This window comes from Homo sapiens, chromosome 17, assembly GCF_000001405.40.
Source record: "Homo sapiens chromosome 17, GRCh38.p14 Primary Assembly".
NCBI lineage: Eukaryota > Metazoa > Chordata > Mammalia > Primates > Hominidae > Homo > Homo sapiens.
Window position 1 is genome coordinate 81,606,682 of NC_000017.11, and position 22,467 is coordinate 81,629,148.

Genomic DNA, 22,467 nt, shown 5'->3' on the forward strand with positions numbered 1-22,467 from the left:
ACATCTCACCTGTCTGTTCAGCGTGATGGCGCTCGGCTGGCACTTAGTACAGATGCCATTCGGCCACGGGAGGTGCCCCTCGCACCCTGACTTAATCTTGCAGCTGATGTTCTCCAGGGCAACAAACTTCCCCCTACATAGAAGAGAAGCAACTTAAACATCACATTGGTGAAAAGTTGAGCAAGAGGCTGGAAATGACATGCTAAGTATCTTATACCTCCTGAACAGTGTCTCAGGAGCTAAGCACGTGGCAGCAGCAGGGAAGATGGGCTAAGGATGATTCTAATGGAAGCTCTACCTACAGTTCCAGCACATTCCGAATCCCAGCTTCTGTCCCACATACTTCAACCATACAGGAACACACAACTACTTTCCTACCAAACTGTGGTGTTTTTTACCATCTATCACTAACATCCGAGAAAGCTTTCAAGAATACTGTAGAATATCTACTGATCTCACCTGTGCCACTGAGCGGGCATGAGGCTCCTACAGGTTTCATTAAATTGTCAGAAACTTTGACATTAGCCCAGTACTTAGATATTTGTAAAAAATTCTTATTCATGGGAAAAATCTGATTAGGATATATAATTAAGGCATCTTTACTCTGCTTTAGGCTAAAATAAAAACTACTGTTGAAGACTGTCAATGAGAAAATCCTGGACCCTACTCTGAACTTTTTCTTTTTCTCCAGCTTTATTGAAATATAACTGACAAAAAAAAAAAAAAAAGAAATCTGTATCTTTAAGGTAGACGTGAGGTTTTGTTTTTCAAATAAAAACGATATATTTACAGTGTACGAAATGATATTCTGAAACATGTCCACACTGTGGAACGGCTAAATTGAGCTAATTAACATATGCATTACCTCACATACTGATCATTTTTGGTGGTGAGCCATTTTTGGTATCATAGCATCTAGGAAGCAAAGACTCGTCACTGAATCTGCATGCTAACAGCAGCCACAAACACGCCCCCACTAGAGACTGTGTTCCTTGACCTAGACTGAGAAAGGCTGACCAAGTCTCTTTCACTACAATCAATCTGCACCCACTCCTTAGTCCAGAGAGTTCCACAGCTTTCCCCACTGACAAGCAACAGTGGGTTTCTAGCAGGTTTTTTCTTCTGGTCTAACATTTTTAAAAAGTCATTTTAGGATGTCAGCAGGTTGTCAGAGAAAAGCTACAATCAGGCGAATATGACATCCTTCACAAAATGTTGCTGACTTCAGTTCAGCCACCATCTCCTCGTTGCACTGACAGGAATTATAAAATAATAGCTGAAGCCTGCTACTTTCTGGTAGGGTGTACAGAGAGCCAACAGGAGAAGGTCATACAGGCAAGGGCTTGCCATGGCTTAAAAGAAATCAAAATGCTCAGTTCACCCCTTTCTGGCCACTGTTACCACCTCTGCCCACCTGGCTGAGCCTGTGGGCAACTACTGTGGTACCATGAGGATTAGTGGCTGCAGCCCCTGCTGTGGCTGAAAACCAAGCTGACTCAGAGGCCAGGCTCTGGGGAAAGGGTTACCAGGCACTGAGGTGGGGAAGCTGAGATTCTCACAGGGTAGTTGTTTTTCTGAAAAGCAGAGAATGAACTCAGACCACAGAATCAACAGGCCACCATCACAGATGCTAACTTGCTGGGGTGGTGTGTGTGGGGACAGCCTCTGTCTGATACTGCACTGTGGCCACGCAGCCAGGCGCCTGCACAGTCGCTCTGCCTTGCTAGCTCCCTTCTAGAACCAGGTTGGCCAGGCGAGGTGGCTCACACCTGTAATCCAGCACTTTGGGGAAACCAAGGCAGGAGGATCACTTGAGCCAAGGAGTTCTAGACCAGCCTGGGCAACATAGTGAGACCCCATCTCTTAAAAACATATATGAGTACATAAAAAATAAATAAATAAATATAGAACCACGGTAACTTTCAAAGGCGTGTGACCCCTTCTCATCTTTACTTCTCTCATTCACACGTTCACTGGCTATAAGCAACAACTGCCAGCTACACAAAAAGGAATTTACGCACAACCAGGTTACAGCAAGTTGCTTACTTGTCAGCCCCTCCAGTCAGCTTCCGGATGTAGGCGTGGAAGGACATGTGCTTCACGGGAGGCTCGAGATGGTTTAGATAGTCCTCATCGAATGGCTGCCAAGACACAGAGTAAGCGAGTGCAGTCTCACACGTGCCGGTCACTCCAGGCGCTGAGCCTCTGCTACGCACAGGGGGAGGCCAGCAGCATGGCCTTGGCAAGTCAAGGCCCACAGTGAAAGCAGGTACTAGGGTCTCCCTTACCACTCTGAGTCAGAACCAAGTTTTTCTTTTTTTAATTAATTGTTTTTTGTTTGTTTGTTTTGAGACGGAGTCTCACTCTGTCGCCCAGGCTGGAGTGCAGTGGCACAGTGGCACAGTCTCTGCTCACTACAACCTCCACCTCTGGGTTCAAGCAACTCTTCTGCCTCTGCCTCCCAAGTAGCTAGGACTACAGGTGCACGCCACCACGCCCAGCTTATTTTTGTATTTTTAGTGGAGACGGGGTTTCAGCATATTGGCCAGGCTGGTCTCAAACTCCTGACCTCATGATCCACCCGCCTTGGCCTCCCAAAGTGTTAGCTTTACAGGCGTGAGCCACTGAGTCTGGCCAATTTAACTGTTTTAGAGATGGGGTCTCATGCTGTTGCCCAGGTTGGAGTATGGTGGTGCAATCATGGCTCACTGCAGCCTCGACCTCAAGTGATTCTCTTGCCTCAGCTTCCTGAGTAGCTGGGACTACAGGCGTGAACCACCACACCCAGCTAATTTTTTAAATTTTTTGTAGAGACAGGGTATACAAAAAAAGAGTTGCCCAGGCTGAACAATTCCTAGGCTCAAATGATCCTCTGGCCCTGGCCTCCCAAAGTGTCGGGACTACAGGCGTCACTGCACATAGCCAGAAGCAAGTTTTTCTTTGTGTGCCAGTTATCTTTTCAAGATTAAAATGAATCTCTATTAAACACAAAACGCTCTAAGTCAAATGAGTTTCAGGAAAATTGTGCAAAAAGAAATGCCACAAGATGAGGCAAGAGATGCCTCATGAAGAAAATCGGGCTGGCCTTCCTGCTGTAAACCCAGCATTAACAGTTCCAGTCGGCATTATTACGGTAACTCTCAGTCTCACCAGGACAAACCAGTAGAAGAGATGTGAGATTCAAGGCAAAGTAAATCAACAATGATAAGCACGGAGGCCGACAGGCTCAGCTTTGTGTCAGATCGGAAAAGGATTGTCCAGGGAGCCCGCTGTAAATGCTGCCCCTTTATCACAGCCACACAAATGCTTCAGCCATTCATAATCCAGCGAGAAGGTCACTCCCATAAATAAAGGCTCGTCCTGTGTGCAGCTTGCACTAGGGGAATATGAGGCCCAGGGCAATAAATAGGTAAGTTCTTTGAACCACTCACTACAGCCAAGTGCGTGGACTCAGGGCAAGCACTTAAGACAGCTGTCTACCCGCAGCCCCCCACACTGGCCCAGAACTTACTCCGCAGAGACTCTCACCTCTAGAGGGACGCAGTGCACGCATTTCCCCAAAGGGCCGTGGCGGCATCTGAGGAGAGTACAAGGCAGAAAAAGGCAGAGCAGTGAGGATGTCTGTGTTCCGCTGCTGCTGTCTCACATGCACGTCCTACTTTAACAGAGTGTTTCCCTGCCCACGTGGAGTTATATTCCAGATGGCACATGGATAAACATTTATATTTTAATTGTTGTTTTGTTTTGTTTAAAGACAGGCTCTCACTCTATCGCCCAGGCTGGAGTGCAGTGGTGATCGTGGCTCCCTGCAGCCTTCACCTCCTGGGCTCAAGCACTCCCACCTCAGCCTCCCCGAGTATCTGGGACTCCAGGTGTACACCACCACACCCAGAAGTTTACTACTTATGTTGATATGAATTAGAAAAAACTGACCCGCACATCAAACCTGTGACTTCATGGGTATCCACTGCTTAAAATGACACAAACCAGGCCGGGCGCGGTGGCTCACGCCTGTAATCCCAGCACTTTGGGAGGCCGAGGCGGGTGGATCATGAGGTCAGGAGATCGAGACCATCCTGGCTAACAAGGTGAAACCCCGTCTCTACTAAAAATACAAAAAATTAGCCGGGCGCGGTGGCGGGCGCCTGTAGTCCCAGCTACTCGGGAGGCTGAGGCAGGAGAATGGCGTGAACCCGGGAAGCGGAGCTTGCAGTGAGCCGAGATTGCGCCACTGCAGTCCGCAGTCCGGCCTGGGCGACAGAGCGAGACTCCGTCTCAAAAAAAAAAAAAAAAAAAAAAATGACACAAACCAAAGATAAAAGTGAATGAACTCAAAGTCAATGTAAGTAGTTTATTGGCCAAAGGCAGTGGCTCACACCTCTAATCCCAACACTTTGGGAGGCTGAGATGGGTGGATCACCTGAGGTCAGGAGTTAAAGACAAGCCTGGCCAACATGGTGAAACCCCATCTCTACTAAAAATACAAAAATTAGCCGGACGTGGTGGCAAGCACCTGTAATGCCAGGAACCAGGGAGGCTGAGGCAGGAGAATTGCTTGAACCTGGGAGGCAAAGGTTGCGATGAGCTGAGATTGTGCCACTGCACTCCAGCCTGGGAGACGAGAGTGAAATTCCACTCAAATAAATAAATAAATAAAATAGTTTTTTTTTTGTTTTCTTTTTTTCTGAGACGGAGTTTCACTCTGTCACCCAGGCTGGAGTGCAGAGGTATGATCTCGGCTCCATGCAACCTCCGCCTCCTCGTTTCAAGCGATTCTCCTGTCTCAGCCTCCCAAGTAGCTGGGACTACAGGTGCACACCACCATGCCTGGCTAATTTTTGTATTTTTAGTAGAGACGGGATTTCACCATATTGGTCAGGCTGGTCTCAAACTCCTGACCTCAGGTGATCCACCTGCCTCAGCCTCCCAAAGTGCTGGGATTACAGGTGTGAGCAACTGCGCCTGGCCAAGTCCATTTAAAGAAAAGTGTTAAATAGGCCAGGTGTGGTGGCTTGCGCCCTGTAATCCCAGCACTTTGGGAGGCCGAGGCGGGTGGATCACAAGTCAGGAGATAGAGACCATCCTGGCAAACACGGTGAAACCCCGTCTTTACTAAAAATACAAAAAAATTAGCCAGGCGTGGTGGCGGGCGCCTGTAGTCCCAGCTACTTGGGAGGCTGAGGCAGGAGAATGGCGTGAACCGGGGGGACGCAGCTGGCAGTGAGCGGACGTCGCGCCACTGCACTCCAGCCTGGGTGACAGAGCGAGAGTCCATCTCAAAAAAAAAAAAAAAAAGAAAAGTGTTAAATAAATAATAACAAAGCTGGTACGTGAACATGGCAAAGGGCCTGAGAGCGGTGCATAAATAATCCAAGTTTGGAAAATACCTACTTCATATGCATTTTGGGAAATAACAACAATGAAAAAACCTTGTCCCACGGCTTTCTAACATTTTCAGTCACAGAAGCCTTGGGAGCACAACACGCACAATCTGAAGGAGAGGTATGCTGGTTTACGAGGGCGCCGGCGGCCGTCCCTCCGGGGCTCAGTCAGACCCCTTTCTAAGTGGGGTCAGAATTCTTACATGCGTATGAGCCCTGTGCTGCGGAACAGAGGTGGCCTCTGTGCTTCCTAATAGGCAGGATCTAAGTGATGATGGCTCAGAATTCTCTCACACACACACGCTCTCAAAAGCTGCTAATGAAGCCATGAAGACACAGATCATGCAAGCAAGCCAGTGCCAGGCCCCTGGGAGGAGACACAAATGGAAGAGGCATGCCGGCTAATGGCTATGGCTACAAAGTGGCTCCATGCCAATGGCAGGAGAGCACCATTTATGGCTCTCTGATCTAAGACATAAAAGTTGCTAATGCAGCATTTGGAATCCCAATACCGCAAAGTCAGCACCCCGTCACATCTACAGAGTGATGCATTTTAAAAAAGACCCCACTGCAGAGACAACCTTCGCTCAGACAATTTCACATGGCCAAGTATAAACTCAGATCCTTCTCACTGGTTTATTTAAAAGGAATTGCAAAAAATCTAAAATAAACAATGTACATATGCATAAGCACTTCATATAGCCCCAGGTGAGGAGGGAATATTCCAAGGCACAGCATCTTCTGCAAGTGAAATGCTTGCTGCAGGGATGGAGAGCGCACACTAGTGTGGCAGGTCAAAATCATCCAACCGCTATGAAATGAGAGACACAGCACTCACCTCACATGGATGCGCACACACAACCACCTGCCCCTTCCCTCCTCCCTCCCCTGCAGCTGCTGATTAACACCCCACTCTGCACGGGAATCAGCATCTCCAGGGGACATCACAGTAAAGACTTGGTGTGAGGCCCCCAACTCCCCCAATACCTTTCCAGTCTCTTTGTACCCAAATGCTTCAAAATTTTTTATGGGAACATATTTTGAGGTGGAAACTGATAAAAAGCTAAAAAAAAAAAACAAAAACCGATAAAAAGCTAACAAGATAACTTGAAGTTTAATCTGAAGATAGTAAAACTTAAGACTTAACATTTCTTCATCAGATACTTATTAAAACAAGACATGTTATAAATATTTCCCTTTATTCACCCATTAAGATCACCACAAGTAGGACCCTGGAATCTCATGGATCACTTACAGCTGTGGGTCTCGGCTTCTGTAAATCTTCCCGTCCTGTTTGCTGAGGTACTGATCAATCTCATCCTCCACCACGTTGGGAGCGCCAAAGACTTTGAAGCCCGGTGGAACTGACGTCTCCATTTCAGATGAGGGCCCAGCAAGGCTCGAGGGAAACAGGAACAACAAATCGCCATGCCTGTTCAAATGATAAACAGAGGCTGATGCCTTCCCTTACCACCTGAGCTTCATGGAAGCCCAACTTGGATATCTGCAAAAAGCAAATGCCAACCACCCCTGTAGGCCTAAACAATGAGGTTTCTAACTTTTAAGATGAGAATTCTCTTCTAACATCTCCCCTATGTTTCCTGGCATTATAAAGACCAGTATGCAGGTTCTCTGTAATTTAATCTCTTACAACTTTACCTTAAACTCTGTGAAGCCTCCATACACCCAAATGATTTTGCTTGCACACACAGCCACAATGGACCTGCTGGGTTTCAGGGCCTCTCCTCCCGCCTCTCACCCTCTGCTTGGCCCCCACCTCCCTCAGCCATTCCTCTGGCCTCTGGGAGGCTCTCTCCTCCCCCAACACTGCATGTGCTGGTTGCATGTATCTCCACTGCTTTCTCGGCGTTCACATACACACGTAAGCACAGACACGCATAGGAGCTGTCACTGCTTTTAAAAAGTGTGACTGGCCAGGCTCGGTGGCTCATGCCTGTAATCCCAGCACTTTGGGAGGCTGAGGCAGATGGATCACAAGGTCAAAAGATCAAGACCATCCTGGCCAACAGGGTGAAATCTCGTCTCTATTAAAAATACAAAAAGACTAGCTGGGCGTGGTGGCGCACGCCTGTAGTCCCAGCTACTCGGGAGGCTGAGGCAGGAGAATCACTTGAACCCAGGAGGCGGAGGTTACAGTGAGCCAAGATCACACCACTGCACTCCAGCCTGGTGACAGAGGGAGGCTCCATCTCAAAAAAAAAAAAAAAAAAAAAGTGGGATTACCAGAGACATACTTTTCTATTTCAACAACCCCTCATAAAATCCTCCAAATATAAGGAGTCCACGTCTAATTGCTATGACAATGGCTGCCTCAATTCCCCAGTGAGGCTGCTTAACCACCCCCTCAGCCACTCCTCCCACAATGACAAGTATGCACACCATCTGCCAGCTTCTGCCATCATCACCACCCCCCAAAAAGGCCCACGGACAGACGTCCCTGTGGTTTTCCTTCTAAAGGGCAAACTCCCAGGAGTCAGACTTAAGGGTTTCTGCTTGTCTCTGAAGCTACTGACGTACTGCTTTCCAAAAAGGTTGCCACAAGTCACATCTGGTTTTCTATCACTTTCAGTCTGAAGTGTGTTCTTCCCTTGGTCAGAGTCACGCTGCCAACTTGGTGCCAGGTTTGACTGGCATGGCAAACTGCTGACCTCAGAGGCTAACAAGCATCTCCACTCACAGTCCACAGAAGCCGCCTGGGGTCCCAAGTGACCAGAGATGGCTGCCAACACTAACCCTCCAGGCCAGCCTTGGAAGAAAGGCTGCAGCATGTCCTCTGACAGATATCTAACTGCTGCCAACAAGACACACACACAGGGGACAGTCTGAGAGGGCAGGATCCACAGCTCTAAACCAACACGGTGAAGGAAGAGCAGAGGCCAAAGTGCAGGCCCTCAAGGACACACAGACACTGGGGCTCAGGTGCAGCTCTTCAACTAATTTCTTTCCTCCTCCTCTTCCTCCCTAATTTGGGGGTGATGAACATTACCAAACATTACCACATCAGAGACGTCTGTTTCTTTTTTTTTTTTTTTTTGAGACAGAGTCTTGCTCTGTCACCCAGGCTGGAGTGCAGTGGCGTGATCTTGGCTCACTGGAACCTGCATCTCACGGGTTTAAGCGATTCTCCTGCCTCAGCCTCCCAAGTAGCTGGGATTACAGACATGTGCCACCACGCCCAGATACTTTTTGTATTTTTAATAGAGACGGGGTTTCTCCATGTTGGACAGGCTGGTCTCGAACTCCTGACCTCAGGTGATCCACCTGCCTCGGCCTCCCAAAGTGCTAGGATTACAGTCGTGAGCCACCACGTCCAGCCGAGACGTCTGTTTCTAATAGCAGATTACATATTCCTAAACACCATCTAACTACTAATATAAAAAACTTGACTTACACACAAGATCAATTTTAACAAATATACTCTAAAATCAATTGATGAGCTCTAAAGAAAGTAGAGGAAATCCCCAGGGGACAAACCCAGCAGTGCACTCAGACAGCAGCCAGCAACACAGAACTCAGAGCTGCTTGTGGGGCCAAGGCCACTCTCAGTAATTCACTCACAGCTTTGGGCCTACAGCGGTTTGCTGGGCACTGGGAGACAAGAACTTGGGCTTCCCTGCCCAGAGGGGGCAGCTGAGTCCGAAACTTCCACATAAATGCAGATAACCAAAGGACGCCTGAACAGCTGTGAAAAACCCACCAGCTGAAAATAGGAACCAAGGAGGAATCCCATCTGCCTCTATCCAGTACACAGCAAAAAAAACCAACAAAGTCACCTCTGAGACTCTGTAACTAAAGGCCTGCTGGGCCATGCATCTGGAGCAGAACCAGGGATGATGCCATTTGGTTCAGAAAGCCCAAAGACAGAAATTAACTCAAAGGAGTTGTAGGTCCATCACACCCCCCTGTGCCAACAAAAGCAAATGCAAACCTCTGTAGAAAAGCTGCTAAATCTGGGCCGGGCGTGGTGGCTCACGCCTGTAATCCCAGCACTTTGGGAGGCTGAGGTGGGAGGATCACGAGGTCAAGAGATTGAGACCATCCTGGCCAGCACAGTGAAACCTCGTCTCTGCTAAAAATAAAAAAAAAAATTAGCCGGGGGTGGTGGCGGGCACCTGTAATCCCAGCTACTCAGGAGGCTGAGACAGGAGAATGGCATGAACCCAGGAGGCGGAGCTTGCAGTGAGCTGAGATCGCACCACTGCACTCCAGCCTGGGCGACATAGCAAGACTCTGTCTCAAAAAAAAAAAAAAAAAAGAAAAGCAAAGCTGCTAAATCTGGATCCTTCAGGATTCCTCAAGACCAAGTTTGGTCAAATATAACCTGTCATAAGAACCAAAAATCCAAATGTAGAAGAGTAACACATGGGCCAGGCACAGTGGCTCACACCTGTAATCCCAGCACGTTGGGAGGCCGAGGCAGGAGGATCATGAGGTCAGGAGATTGAGACGATCCTGGCTAACACGGTGAAACCCCGTCTCTACTAAAAATAGAAAAAATTAGCCGGGCATGGTGGCAGGTGCCTGTAGTCCCAGCTACTCGGGAGGCTGAGGCAGGAGAATGGGGTGAACCCAGGGGGCGGAGCTTGCAGTGAGCCAAGATGGTGCCACTGCCCTCCAGCCTGGGCGACAGAGCAAGACTCCATCTCAAAAAAAAAAAAAAGAGTAACACACTACCACGCAAGTAAGAGTGGGCAGAGACATAATTAACAGAGAGTTAGACTGCCAAAGACTCAGACACAGAAATTATGAGACCGAATATCAACCTCTACATGGGATATTAAATGAACAATGGAATGGAAGAAGAGGGTGAGTGACAGAGGCTATCCAAAATGACCAGGCGGGATTCTAGGACATGGAAGTGGCAGGCACCAAAGTCAGTGGCTCTTCCCAAATCTCCCTCCTGCAGGCAGCTAGACCGCATGCCAGGTCCCACCGATGCATCTACAGCAATGCAGGGGGCAGGGATACAAGTGGGGGCAGACAGATGCCAACAGTCACGAGACCCAAGAGGCAGGCCCCCATGTCTCACAGCCCGGATAGGGAGTCCTCAACCACCCAGTGGTCTTCACTGGAGGCCAGCGGGCCAATGTGGCAGCAGAGCAGAAACTAGGAGAAACCAGGAGCCACATGGCCCCTGTGAGTACTTGAAGCCAACAGACAGATTTAGGGGGAAAAAAAATCAGATTACGTATTTATTTATATACTTTTGAGACAGGGTCTTGCTCTGTTGCCCAGCTGCAGTGCAGTGGCACAATCACAGTTCACAACAGTGTGGACAAAGACCCTGTCTCTAAAGAAAAAAAGAGGGTGCCAGGTGTAGTGGCTCACTCCTGTAATCCCAGCACTCTGGGAGGCTGAGGCCAGCAGATCACCTGAGGTTAGGAGTTCAAGACTAGCCTGACCAACACAGAGAAACCCCAAGTCTACTTAAAAATACAAAATTAGGCCGGGCACAGTGGCTCATGCCTGTAATCCCAGCACTTTGGGAGGCTGAAGCAGGTGGATCACAAGGTCGGGAGATCGAGACCATCCTGGCTAACACGGTGAGATCCCGTCTCTATTAAAAACACAAAAAATGCCCCCCCTCCCCCTCCGTCTCTTTCCACGGTCTCCCTCTCATGCCGAGCCGAAGCTGGACTGTACTGCTGCCATCTCGGCTCACTGCAACCTCCCTGCCTGATTCTCCTGCCTCAGCCTGCCGAGTGCCTGCGATTGCAGGCGCGCGCCGCCACGCCTGACTGGTTTTCGTATTTTTTTGGTGGAGATGGGGTTTCGCTGTGTTGGCCGGGCTGGTCTCCAGCTCCTAACCAAGTGATCCGCCAGCCTCGGCCTCCCGAGGTGCCGGGATTGCAGACGGAGTCTCGTTCACTCAGTGCTCAATGGTGCCCAGGCTGGAGTGCAGTGGCGTGATCTCGGCTCGCTACAACCTCTACCTCCCAGCCGCCTGCCTTGGCCTCCCAAAGTGCCGAGACTGCAGCCTCTGCCCGGCCGCCACCCCGTCTGGGAAGTGAGGAGCCTCTCTGCCTGGCCGCCCATCGTCTGGGATGTGACGAGCCCCTCTGCCTGGCTGCCCAGTCTGGAAAGTGAGGAGCGTCTCTGCCCGGCCGCCATCCCATCTAGGAAGTGAGGAGCGCCTCTTTCCGGCCGCCATCCCATCTAGGAAGTGAGGAGCGTCTCTGCCCGGCCGCCCATCGTCTGAGATGTGGGGAGCGCCTCTGCCCCGCCGCCCCGTCTGGGATGTGAGGAGCGCCTCTGCCTGGCCGCGACCCCGTCTGGGAGGTGAGGAGCGTCTCTGCCTGGCCGCCCCGTCTGAGAAGTGAGGAGCCCCTCCGCCCCGCAGCCGCCCCGTCTGGGAAGTGAGGAGCGTCTCCGCCTGGCAGCCACCCCGTCCGGGAGGAAGGTGGGGGGTCAGCGACCCCGCCCGGCCAGCCGCCCCGTCCGGGAGGGAGGTGAGGGGTCAGTGCCCCCGCCCGGCCAGCCGCCCCGTCCGGGAGGGAGGTGGGGGGTCAGCCCCCGCCCAGCCAGCCGCCCGTCTGGGAGGTGAGGGGCGCCTCTGCCCGGCCGCCCCTACTGGGAAGTGAGGAGCCCCTCTGCCCGGCCACCACCCCGTCTGGGAGGTGTACCCAACAGCTCATTGAGAACGGGCCATGATGACAATGGCAGTTTTGTGGAATAGAAAAGGGGGAAAGGTGGGGAAAAGATTGAGAAATCGGATGGTTGCTGTGTCTGTGTAGAAGGAAGTAGACATGGGAGACTTTTCATTTTGTTCTGTACTAAGAAAAATTCTTCTGCCTTGGGATCCTGTTGATCTATGACCTTACCCCAACCCTGTGCTCTCTGAAACATGTGCTGTGTCCACTCAGGGTTAAATGGATTAAGGGCGGTGCAAGATGTGCTTTGTTAAACAGATGCTTGAAGGCAGCATGCTGGTTAAGAGTCATCACCACTCCCTAATCTCAAGTACCCAGGGACACAAACACTGCGGAAGGCCGCAGGGTCCTCTGCCTAGGAAAACCAGAGACCTTTGTTCACTTGTTTGGCTGCTGACCTTCCCTCCACTATTGTCCTATGACCCTGCCAAATCCCCCTCTGCGAGAAACACCCAAGAATGATCAATTAAAAAAAAAAAAAAAAACACAAAAAATTAGCCGGGCATGTTGGCGGGCGCCTGTAGTCCCAGCTATTCGGGAGGCTGAGGCAGGAGAATGGCATGAACCCGGGAGGTGGAGCTTGCAGTGAGCTGAAATCGCGCCACTGGACTCTAGCCTGGGCAACACAGTGAGACTCCGTCTCAAAAAACAAAAACAAAAACAAAATTAGCCGGGCGTGGTGGCACATGCCTGTAATCCCAGCTACTCGGGAGGCTAAGGCAGGAGAATCGCTTGAACCCGGGGGGGCAGAGGTTGTGGTGAGCTGAGACCATGCCACTGCACTCTAGCCTGGGCAACAAGAATGAAACTCTGTCTCAAGAAAAAAAAAAAAAAAGAAAGAAAAGAAAAGAAAAAAGGCGGGGTGCCAGGCGCAGTGGCTTACATCTGTAATGCCAACACTTTGGGAGGCTGAGGCGGGTGAATCACTTGAGGTCAAGAGATTGAGATCAGCCTGGCCAACACGGTGAAACCCTGTCTCTACTAAAAATACAAAAATTACCTGGGAATGGTGGTGGGCACCTGTAATCCCAGCTACTCAGGAGGCTGAGGCAGGAGAATCGCTTGAACCTGGGAGGCAGAGGTTGCAGTGAGCTGAGATTGCGCCACTGCACTCCAGCCTGGGCAACAGATTGAGACTCCGTCTCAAAAAAAAAAAAAAGGTGGGGGTACAGCACCCCATGGTCCTGCTGAGGGAATGGCCTGAGTCTGTCAGGCCTCTGTTTACCGCTTTGCATCGGCAGGAAATCCAGGACACAGAGGGTCATGCTGGAGGGTCTTGTGAATGTGAAATCAGCAAGACCTCAGAGGTGGGAAACTCTACAGGTCAATGGACCAAGTTCCTCAACAGATAAATTTCAAGAAAAGGGAAGAGATGGAAGGGGAACCTGAAGATTACAAGAAGTAAGACATACAAATTTCCTTAAAAAGCAAGACTAACTGGCAGTGTCTAGGGATAGACACTCAAGTAACGAAAGAATAAAGAGCCAGGCACGGTGGCTCACACCTGTAATCCCAGCACTTTGGAAGGCCAAGGCGGGTGGATCACGAGGTCAGGAATTCGAGACCAGCTTGGCCAACTTAGTGAAACCCCACCTCTACATAAAATAAAAAAATTAGCCAGGCATGGTGGCACGAGCCTATAGTCCCAGCTACTCAGGAGGCTGAGGCAGGAGAAATGCTTGAACCCGGGAGGCAGAGGTTGCAGTGAGCTGGGATCACGTCATTGCACTCCAGCCTGGGCGACAGAGCGAGACTCCGTCTCAAAAAAAATAAATAAATAAAAAAATGCAAACCGGTGATTACTGTTAGGGAAGCTTCTGCAGTGGCTGCCAATGCCTTATCCCCAGACCTGCTTGGTGCTTGCAATGGTGACACATAAGGTTCATCCATCAAGGCATACACTGTTTTCTGAGGTGTTCAGTACGTATTTTGTTTAATAATTAAAAAGAGGAGGGAGAAAAAAAGGCCAAGCAACAGAAGAGAAGGAAGGAGGGCAAGAGCAGCGGGACAAGCGTGGTCGTGAGCTGAGAGTTCCTCTGGCTGGAACAGAGAGTGTGCACTCACAGTCATTCTCTTTACCTTTAGATAATGGTTACGTGTTCCAGATTTAAACTTTTTTTTAAAAAATTACCAGCTAGATTTGATTTAAAAGTGAAAAATGTGCCTGTAGTCCCAGCTACTCGGGAGGCTGAGGCTGAAGGATCACTTGAGCCCAGAAGGTCGAGGCTGCAGTGAGCTACGATCGCACCACCGCACTCCAGCCTGGGTGACACGGTGAGATTCTGTCTCAAGAAAAGGAAAGAAAGGAAAAGGAAAAGAAAGGAAGGAAGGAAGGAAGTATCAAGATGCAAAACCCTTCAAGAAAGAAAGAAAAGGAAAGAAGGAAGGAAGGAAAGAAAAGAAAAAAAAAAGAAAAATATCAAGATGCAAAACCCCTCACCAGCTCAAAAGAAGGATGAACCAGTGTCACTCTGGAAATGAACATCAACAACAAGAGGTTTCGTTTCACCTCACCACATGGGTAGGCAAACAGTAGGTGCCCAATACATCTTTGTTAAGAACAAATGAATGCTACAATTGCATGTTGTGTCCCTAGACATAGTAATTTGTGAATCTAAAAGTGACCAAGTGCAAAACCAGCCCATCATTCTGGCTGGTAAACAGGCTCACAGCCAACTGCCAGCAGGTCCCAGGCCCACCACTGAGCCAGTGGCCACAGCACATGCAACCTGCAGCGTCGAGAGGAAAACTGGCCACTAGCTCCTTAAGGACTGAACTGATCTAAGGCACATGTGAGTAAGTGCCCAGATGGTTTCGATGGGAGCCAGCACCCGTGTTCCGTAAAGGACCAGTCAATACTTTCAGCTTTGCAGGCCTCACGGTCTATCACAACTAAACTCTGCCCTTGTAACATGAAAACTGGCACCAACAACACGACCTGGCTGTGTTCCAATAACACTTTACAAAAACAGGCAGTAGCCAGGCTGTGACAAGAGGTCTCTGAGTCCTGAAGGTCCTGAATGACCAACTCTACAGGGTGGCATGGGCCACTGCAGTGGCAGCACTCCTACCCAAGCCAGCAGGGCTAACATGATTTCCCGGCACACAGCTGTGTTCAAGGTCTTTCACTCCAGACAAGCAGCTGAGTATGCAGCTCACTCCACGCCGTACATGGACAAAGACAATAACTTTCTCCTCAGTGACACAAATTCCAGAATTCTGCAAAGTCAATCAAATCTGCTCAATGGTAACTGCAGATTCAGGATAATTACTGAATTCCTGGCAAGCAACACGGTCATGTGTATTCTGGTCAGTTGATAAGACCATAATGAGTGGTGTGATGAGGAAAGAGGATAAAACTCGGCAACCTCGGGCAGATCATGGGGACCTCATTTCCCCCCATTCCCTGCTTCCTCCTCAGAGGACACTTACTTGATTTTTAGCAAGTTGAGGGATTTGTTGGAGGAGGCTGTTATCTCTCCGGTCTTGTTTCTATTGATGTAAACCGAGAAGCCATTATTTTGGAAGCCAAACTCCTTTGCAACCTAAAACAAGGCCCAAAGAACAGAAATTTAATGAAATGCTAAAGTATCACTACACATACCATACACACCAGACACTACTAGAAGAGTATTCACCAAATTTGGAAAGTGCCCATCATTTACCAAATTCCTCTTGCTATTTTGCTCTTTTAAAGAAATTTGTACTGTTCACAAAGGTGTCAATTAAAATGAATAAAGTGGCCAAAAAAGCAAAGGTCTTGTCAATGATGAAACTTTGTAAAACATTTAAGACTTTGAAGCAAACAAGAGTTAATGGCTATCCTTGTTTTGTTTTCAGACAGTCTCGTTCTGTAGCCCAAGCTGGAGTACAGTGGCATGATCTCGGCTTACTGCAACCTCCACATCCCAGGTTCCAGTGATTCTCCTGCCTCAGCCTCCCAAGTAGCTGGGATTACAGGCGCCTGCCACCACACCCGGCTGATTTTTGTATTTTTAGTAGAGATGGAGTTTCACCATGTTGGCCACGGTGGTCTCAAACTCCTGACCTCAGGTGATCCGCCCACCTTGGCCTCCCAAAGTACTGGGATTACAGGCGTGAGCCACCATGCATGGCCAATGGCTATGTTTGAAAAGTTCAATTTCCATTTTTGAATTCAATTGTAAAAACCCAATTCCAGGCCAGGCGTGGTGGCTCATGCCTGTAATCCCAGCACTTTGGGAGGATGAGGTGGGAGTATCACCTGAGGTTAGGAGTTCGAGACCAGCCTGACCAACATGGTGAATCCCCGTTTCTACTAAAACTACAAAATTAGCCAGGCATGGTGGCACATGCCTGTAATCCCAGCTACCCGTGAGGCTGAAGCAGGAGAATCACTTGAAGCTGGGAGGCAGAGGTTGCAGGGAGCCGAGATCGTGCTATTCCACTCCAGCTTGGGCAACAAGAGCAAAACTCTGGCCGGGTGTGGAGGCTCACACCTGTAATCTCAGCACTATGGGAGGCCAAAGCAGGTGGATCACGAGGCCAGGAGTTCGACACCAGCCTGGTCAACATAGTGAAACCGTCTCTACTAAAAATACAAAAATTAGCCAGGCATGGTGGCGCACACCTGTAATCCCAGCTACCCGGGAGGCTGAGGCAGAACTGCTTGGGCCTGGGAGGTAGAGGCTGCAGTGAGTCGAGATCATGCCACTGCACTCCAGCCTGGGTGACAGAGCAAGACTTTGTTTCAAAAAAAAAAAAAAAAAAAAGCAAAACTCTGTCTCAAAAAAATAAAAAACCCGGCCGGGCGCGGTGGCTGACGCCTGTAATCCCAGCATTTTGGGAGGCCGAGGCAGGCGGATCATGAGGTCAGGAGATCGAGACCATCCTGGCTAACACGGTGAAACCCCGTCTCTACTAAAAATACAAAAAATTAGCCGGGCGTGGTGGTGGGCGCCTGCAGTCCCAGCTACTCGGGAGGCTGAGGCAGGAGAGTGGCGTGAACCCGGGAGGCGGAGCTTGCAGTGAGCCGAGATCGCGCCACTGCACTCCAGCCAGGACGACAGAGCGAGACTCCGTCTCAAAAAAAAAAACAAAACTCAATTCCAATTCTGAAACCTAACACAGAATGGTGCGACTAAATCATAAAACGTCCACTGTGCAGGGCACTTTGCTAGATGCTGGGAATATTCACTCATTCCTTCAACAAATATTAAGCAGTTCTATGTGCTCAGCTCCATTCTGGGTGTTCAGATCACAAAAATGAACTAGAAAAGACAAGGTTTCTGGCCGGGCGTGGTGGCTCATGTCTGCAATCCCAGCACTTCGGGAGGCCAAGGCGGGTGGATCACTTCAAGTCAGGAGTTCAAGACCAGCCTGACCAACATGGTGAAACCCCATCTCTCCTAAAAATACAAAAATTAGGCCAGGTGTGGTGACTCACGCCTGTAATCCCAGCACTCTGGGAGGCCGAGGTGGGCGGATCACGAGGTCAGGAGATCGAGGCCAGCCTGGCCACCTTGATGAAACCCCATTTCTACTAAAATACAAAAATTAGCTAGGCGTGGTGGCGGACACTTGTTATCCCAGCTACTCAGGAGGCTGCGGCAAGAGAATTGCTTGAAACCAGAAGGCAGAGGTTGCAGTGAGCCAAGATGGCGCCATTGCACTCCAGCCTGGGCGACAAGAGTGAAACTCCGTCTCAAAAAAACAAAAACAAAAACAAAGACAAAAATTAGCCAGGCATGGTGGTGCACGCCTACAGTCCCAGCTAGTCGGTGGGCTGAGACAGGAGAATCACTTCGACCTGGGAGGCGGAGCTGCAGTGAGATGAGATCACGCCATTACACTCTAGCCTGGGCAACGGAACAAGACTCCACCTCAAAAAAAGAAAAACAAAAAAAAGACAAGGTTCCTGCTGTCAAGCAGTTTACCAACAAATGGGGGAGACAAAGTCAACAAAGGTCGAAATAAGCACTACGACAGAAAAGGAAAAGAAACCTCAGATGGGAGGCTAGAAGTCTCTCTGAAGAGCTTCAGCTGAGCAGGGCCCACCCAGCGGTGGGTAAGCCCGCCACACGCGAGCTGGGAGAAAAGGCCACAGGGAGTAGGAGCAAGCACAAAGACCAGGAGGCAGGAAGGGTGTTGGAAACACGGAGGCCAGAGGCCAATAAACAATAAGGAAGATGGAAAGAGATGAGGCTGGCGAGGCAGACAGGGCCGTGGGAAGCCACACAGACGAAAGGCAGGGGGAATCATCATCCACAAAATCCCTGTTGCTCAACACCACACTGAAGAGGAAGCTAGAGTGCCAATTAGAGACAAGAGAGATGGGCTGAGACAGGGGATGAGATGGGACAGGATGGTGGGGATGAAGGCAAGAGCACACTTTCCAGCAGTGGTCATCACCAGGCCCAGCTGACGAGCAGGACCAGGGGCAGGAATGGAATGAGAGAAAGGAAGGAGGTCAGAGTAAAGCTGAGAATTCTAGATTGAGAAACTATGTGGAGGTAACACCTGTGCAGGGACCATGAAAGGAAAGGCTAAAAAAGGAAGAAGACTAGAGGGAAAATCAGGACTTCCATTTGACACTGAGATCGGAGGTGACAACCAGACACACTGCAGTGAAGCCGTCCAGCAGGCAGGTGGGCGCATCTGTGTCTGAGCCCAGGCAAGGGGCCAGAGCAAGAGCTCTACACCGAGGGGTCATCAGAGTAGATGTACCCAAATAAAAGGAATGTGAATCTCGGTAAAGAAACAAATCATAAAAGAACAATCAAATGGAAATTCTAGAACTGAAAAACACAAGAACAGAAATAAAAAATTCACTGAACGGGCTTATCAGCAGAAGGGAGAGAGCAGAAGAGTCAACCTAAACATAGGTGAATAGCTTGTGGTCCCAGCAACTCGGAAGGCTGAGGTGGAAGCACTGCTTGAGCCCAGAAGTTTAAGGCTACAATGAGATATGATCACACCACTGCACTCCAGCCTGAGCGACAGAGTGAGAATCCAACCAACTCTAAAAAGAAAAACATAAATGAATCAATAAAAATAACAGCTATATAATCTGAAGGCAGAGATTTGGGGAAAAAAAAAACAGCCTTAGGAACCCATGGTACAGGATCAAATGCTCCTCACTAGAAAAAAATGAGGGTTGGGCGCGGAGGTTCAAGCCTGTAATCCCAACACTTTGGGAGGCCGAGTTGGGCAGATCACCTGAAGTCAGGAGTTTGAGACCAGCCTGGCCAACATGGTGAAATCCCATCTCTACTAAAAATACAAAAATTAGACAGGTGTGGTGGTGCACCCCTGTAATCCCAGCTACTCAGGAGGCTGAAACAGGAGAATCGCTTGAACCTGGGAGGTGGAGGTTGCAGTGGGCAGAGATTGCGCCACTGCACTCCAGCCCAAGCGACAGAGTGAGACTTCATCTCAAAAAAAAAAAAAAAAAATTAGCCAGGTGAGCTGGCACGTGCCTGTAATCTCAGTTACTCGGGAGGCTGAGCCAGGAAAACCGCTTGAACCCCGGAGGCGGAGGTTGCAGTCAGCCAAGATCGCGCCACTGCACTCCAGCCTGGGCAACAGAGCGAGACTCCATCTCAAGAAAAAAAAAAAAGAAAAGAATGAAAATAGAACAGAAAAATACTTAAGAGTGGGGAAAACCCCAAAATTTAATGAAAAACATCAAATAGCAACTCCAGGAAGTTCAGCAAACTCTCTCAAGTTAAGATACAAAGAACACCACTGCAAGGCACACCAGAGTCACCCTACTGAAAGCCAGAGGTCAACGAAGACGAGAAGACCAAGAAGACGGTGGAACGACAGCTTCAAATGCTCAACAGGACCAGGCACCGCGGCTCCCGCCTGGAATCCCAGCATCCAGGAGACAGAGTGGGGAGGATCACTTGAGGAAATCAAGACCAGCCTAGACAACATGGTGAAACCCCATCTCTACCAAAAAATTAAGAAATTAGCTAGGAAGCTCACGTGGGAGGATCGTTTGAGCCCGGGAAGTCAAGGCTGCAGTGAGCTGTGACTTTGCCAGTGCACTCCAACCTAGGCAAAAATAATAATAATAATAATTTTAAAATGGACTGGGTGAGGGTGGATCATACCTGTAATCCCAGCACTTTGGGAGGCTGAGGCGGGCGGATCACCTGAGATCAGGAATTCGAGACCAGACTGGCCAACATAGTGAAACCTCGTCTCTACTAAAAATACAAAAATCAGCTGGGCATGGTGGTGCGAGCCTGTAGTCCCAGCTACTCGGGAGGCTGAGGCAACAGAATCACTTGAACCCGGGAGGCGGAGGTTGCAGTGAGGCAAGATTGTGCCGCTGCACTCCAGCTTGGGCGACACAATGAGACTTCGTCTCAAAAAAAAAAAAGAAAAAGGGCCAGGTGTGGTGGCTCACTCTTGTAATCCCGGCACATTGGGAGGCCGAGGCAGGCGGATCATGAGGTCAGGAGATCGAGACCATCCTCACTAACACAGTGAAACCCCATCTCTACTAAAAACACAAAAAACATTAGCCGGGCATGGTGGCGGGTGCCTGTAGTCCCAGCTACTCGGGAGGCTGAGGCAGGGAAATGGCATGAACCTGGGAGGCAGAGCTTGCAGTGAGCCGAGATCGCGCCACTGCATTCCAGCCTGGGCAACAGAAAGACTCCGTCTCAAAAAAAAAAAAAAATTGATGCATGGTGGGGAACAAAAATGAACTGTCAACTCAGAAATCTGTTTTGAGGCCAGGTGCAGTGGCTCACGCCTGTAACCCCAGCACTTTGGGAGGCCAAGGCGGGTGGATCACCTGAGGTCAGGAGTTCGAGACCAGCCTGACCAACATGGTGAAACTCCATCTCTATTAAAAAGACAAACTTAGCCGGACTTGGTGGCGTATGCCTGTAATCCCAGCTACTCGGAAGGCTGAGGCAGAATTGCTTGAACCCGGGAGGCTGAGGCAGGAGAATTGCTTGAACACAGGAGGCAGAGGCTGCAATGAGCCAAGATCATGCCATCACACTCCAGCCTGGGCAACAAGAGCGAAACTCTGTCTCAAAAAACAAAAACAAAAATTAGCCAGGTATTGTGGTGCACACCTGTAATCCCAGCTACTTGGGAGGCTGAGGCAGGAGAACTGCTGGAACCCAGGAGGCGGAGGTTGCACTGAGCCGAGATCACGCCACCACATTCCAGCCTGGGCGACAGAAAAAGACTCCATCTCAAAAAAAGAAATTTGTATTGAATGAAAATATCCTTGGGAGGCCAAGGCGGGCAGATCACGAGGTCAGGAGATGAAGACCATCCTGGCTAACATGGTGAAATCCCGTCTCTACTAAAAATACAAAAAATTAGCCAGGCATGGTGGTGGGCGCCTGTAGTCCAGCTACTCGGGAGGCTGAGGCAGGAGAGTGGCGTGAACCCGGGAGGCGGAGCTTGCAGTGAGCCAAGATCATGCCACTGCATTCCAGCCTTGGAGACAGAGCGAGACTCCCTCTCATAAAAAAAAAAAGAAAAAAAAAAGAAAAAGAAAATATATCCTTCATGGCTGGGCACGGTGGCTCACACTGAAGCGGGTGGATCACGAGGTCGGGAGTTCAAGACCAGCATGGTGAAGATAGTGAAACCCCGTCTCTACTAAAAATACAAAAAATTAGTCAGGTATGGTGGCGGGTGCCTGTAATCCTAGCTACTCGAGAGGCTTAGGCAGAGGATTGCTTGAACCCAGGAGGCAGAGGTTGCAGTGAGCCGAGATCATGCCACTGCACTCCAGCCTGGGCAACAGAGTGAGATGCCATCTCAAAAAAAAAGAAAATAACCCTCATATAAACACAGGGCAAAACGAAAACATTTTCAGGTCAAAAAAACCCAAAGGTCTGTGACCAACAAACCTACCTACAACAAAGGCTAATGGATGTTTTTCAGTCTGAAGAGAAACAACACCAGACAGAAATAGTCTGGGGGAATCCATGGGAAAAGTAAATAAGGAAGAAACTGTGAAGATAAGCTAAGAAGTACATAATATGCAACTATCACAGTAAATGAAATATTTTGTGATTGGTTAAAAAAAGAAAAACTGTCATGGGAATCCTGGACACAATGCAGGTCAGGAGACCAGGGAGGAGCCAGGGATGATTCTTTGAGTCAACTGTAGTCATATCTACAATTCATACTTTTTTTTTTTTTTGAGACAGTCTCACTCTGTCGCCCAGGCTGGAGTGCAGTGGCGCGATCTCAGCTCACTGCAAGCTCCGCCTCCTGGGTTCACATCATTCTCCTGCCTCAGCCTCACCAGCAGCTGGGACTACAGGTGCCCGCCACCACACCCGGCTAATTTTTTGTATTTTTACTAGAGATAGGGTTTCACCATGTTAGCCAGGATGGTCTCAATCTCCTGACCTTGTGATCCGCCCGCCTCGGCCTCCCAAAGTGCTGCG

General features: G+C 49.5%; 1 protein-coding gene across 9 annotated transcripts in view, besides 2 other annotated features; it reads right to left on the bottom strand.

Moving 5' to 3' along the window:
* NPLOC4 (NPL4 homolog, ubiquitin recognition factor) overlaps positions 1 to 22,467 on the bottom strand; it is an 80,228-nt gene that overhangs the window by 49,797 nt on the left and 7,964 nt on the right. For 8 of the 9 annotated variants that reach the window (XM_011524980.2, NM_017921.4, NM_001438810.1 and 5 more), the window contains exons 3-7: positions 15,485 to 15,597; positions 6,637 to 6,813; positions 3,529 to 3,577; positions 2,047 to 2,141; positions 10 to 133 (exon numbers count right to left, since the gene is read on the bottom strand). In XM_011524980.2, coding sequence (XP_011523282.1) covers positions 10 to 133; positions 2,047 to 2,141; positions 3,529 to 3,577; positions 6,637 to 6,813; positions 15,485 to 15,597 — 558 coding nt within the window. Of the gene's footprint in view, positions 1 to 9; positions 134 to 2,046; positions 2,142 to 3,528; positions 3,578 to 6,636; positions 6,814 to 15,484; positions 15,598 to 22,467 lie in introns of those variants that run through there. The other variant, XM_047436368.1, reaches the window with a different exon arrangement.
* Positions 12,146 to 12,689: an enhancer, noted in NCBI's record as "NANOG-H3K27ac-H3K4me1 hESC enhancer chr17:79585853-79586396 (GRCh37/hg19 assembly coordinates)". NCBI's record gives its function as "activates a minimal SCP1, AML or CMV promoter by ChIP-STARR-seq in primed H9 embryonic stem cells {active_cell/tissue: H9 hESC(primed)}" and the evidence as "EXISTENCE:reporter gene assay evidence [ECO:0000049][PMID:30033119]".
* Positions 12,690 to 13,233: an enhancer, noted in NCBI's record as "H3K27ac hESC enhancer chr17:79586397-79586940 (GRCh37/hg19 assembly coordinates)". NCBI's record gives its function as "activates a minimal SCP1, AML or CMV promoter by ChIP-STARR-seq in primed H9 embryonic stem cells {active_cell/tissue: H9 hESC(primed)}" and the evidence as "EXISTENCE:reporter gene assay evidence [ECO:0000049][PMID:30033119]".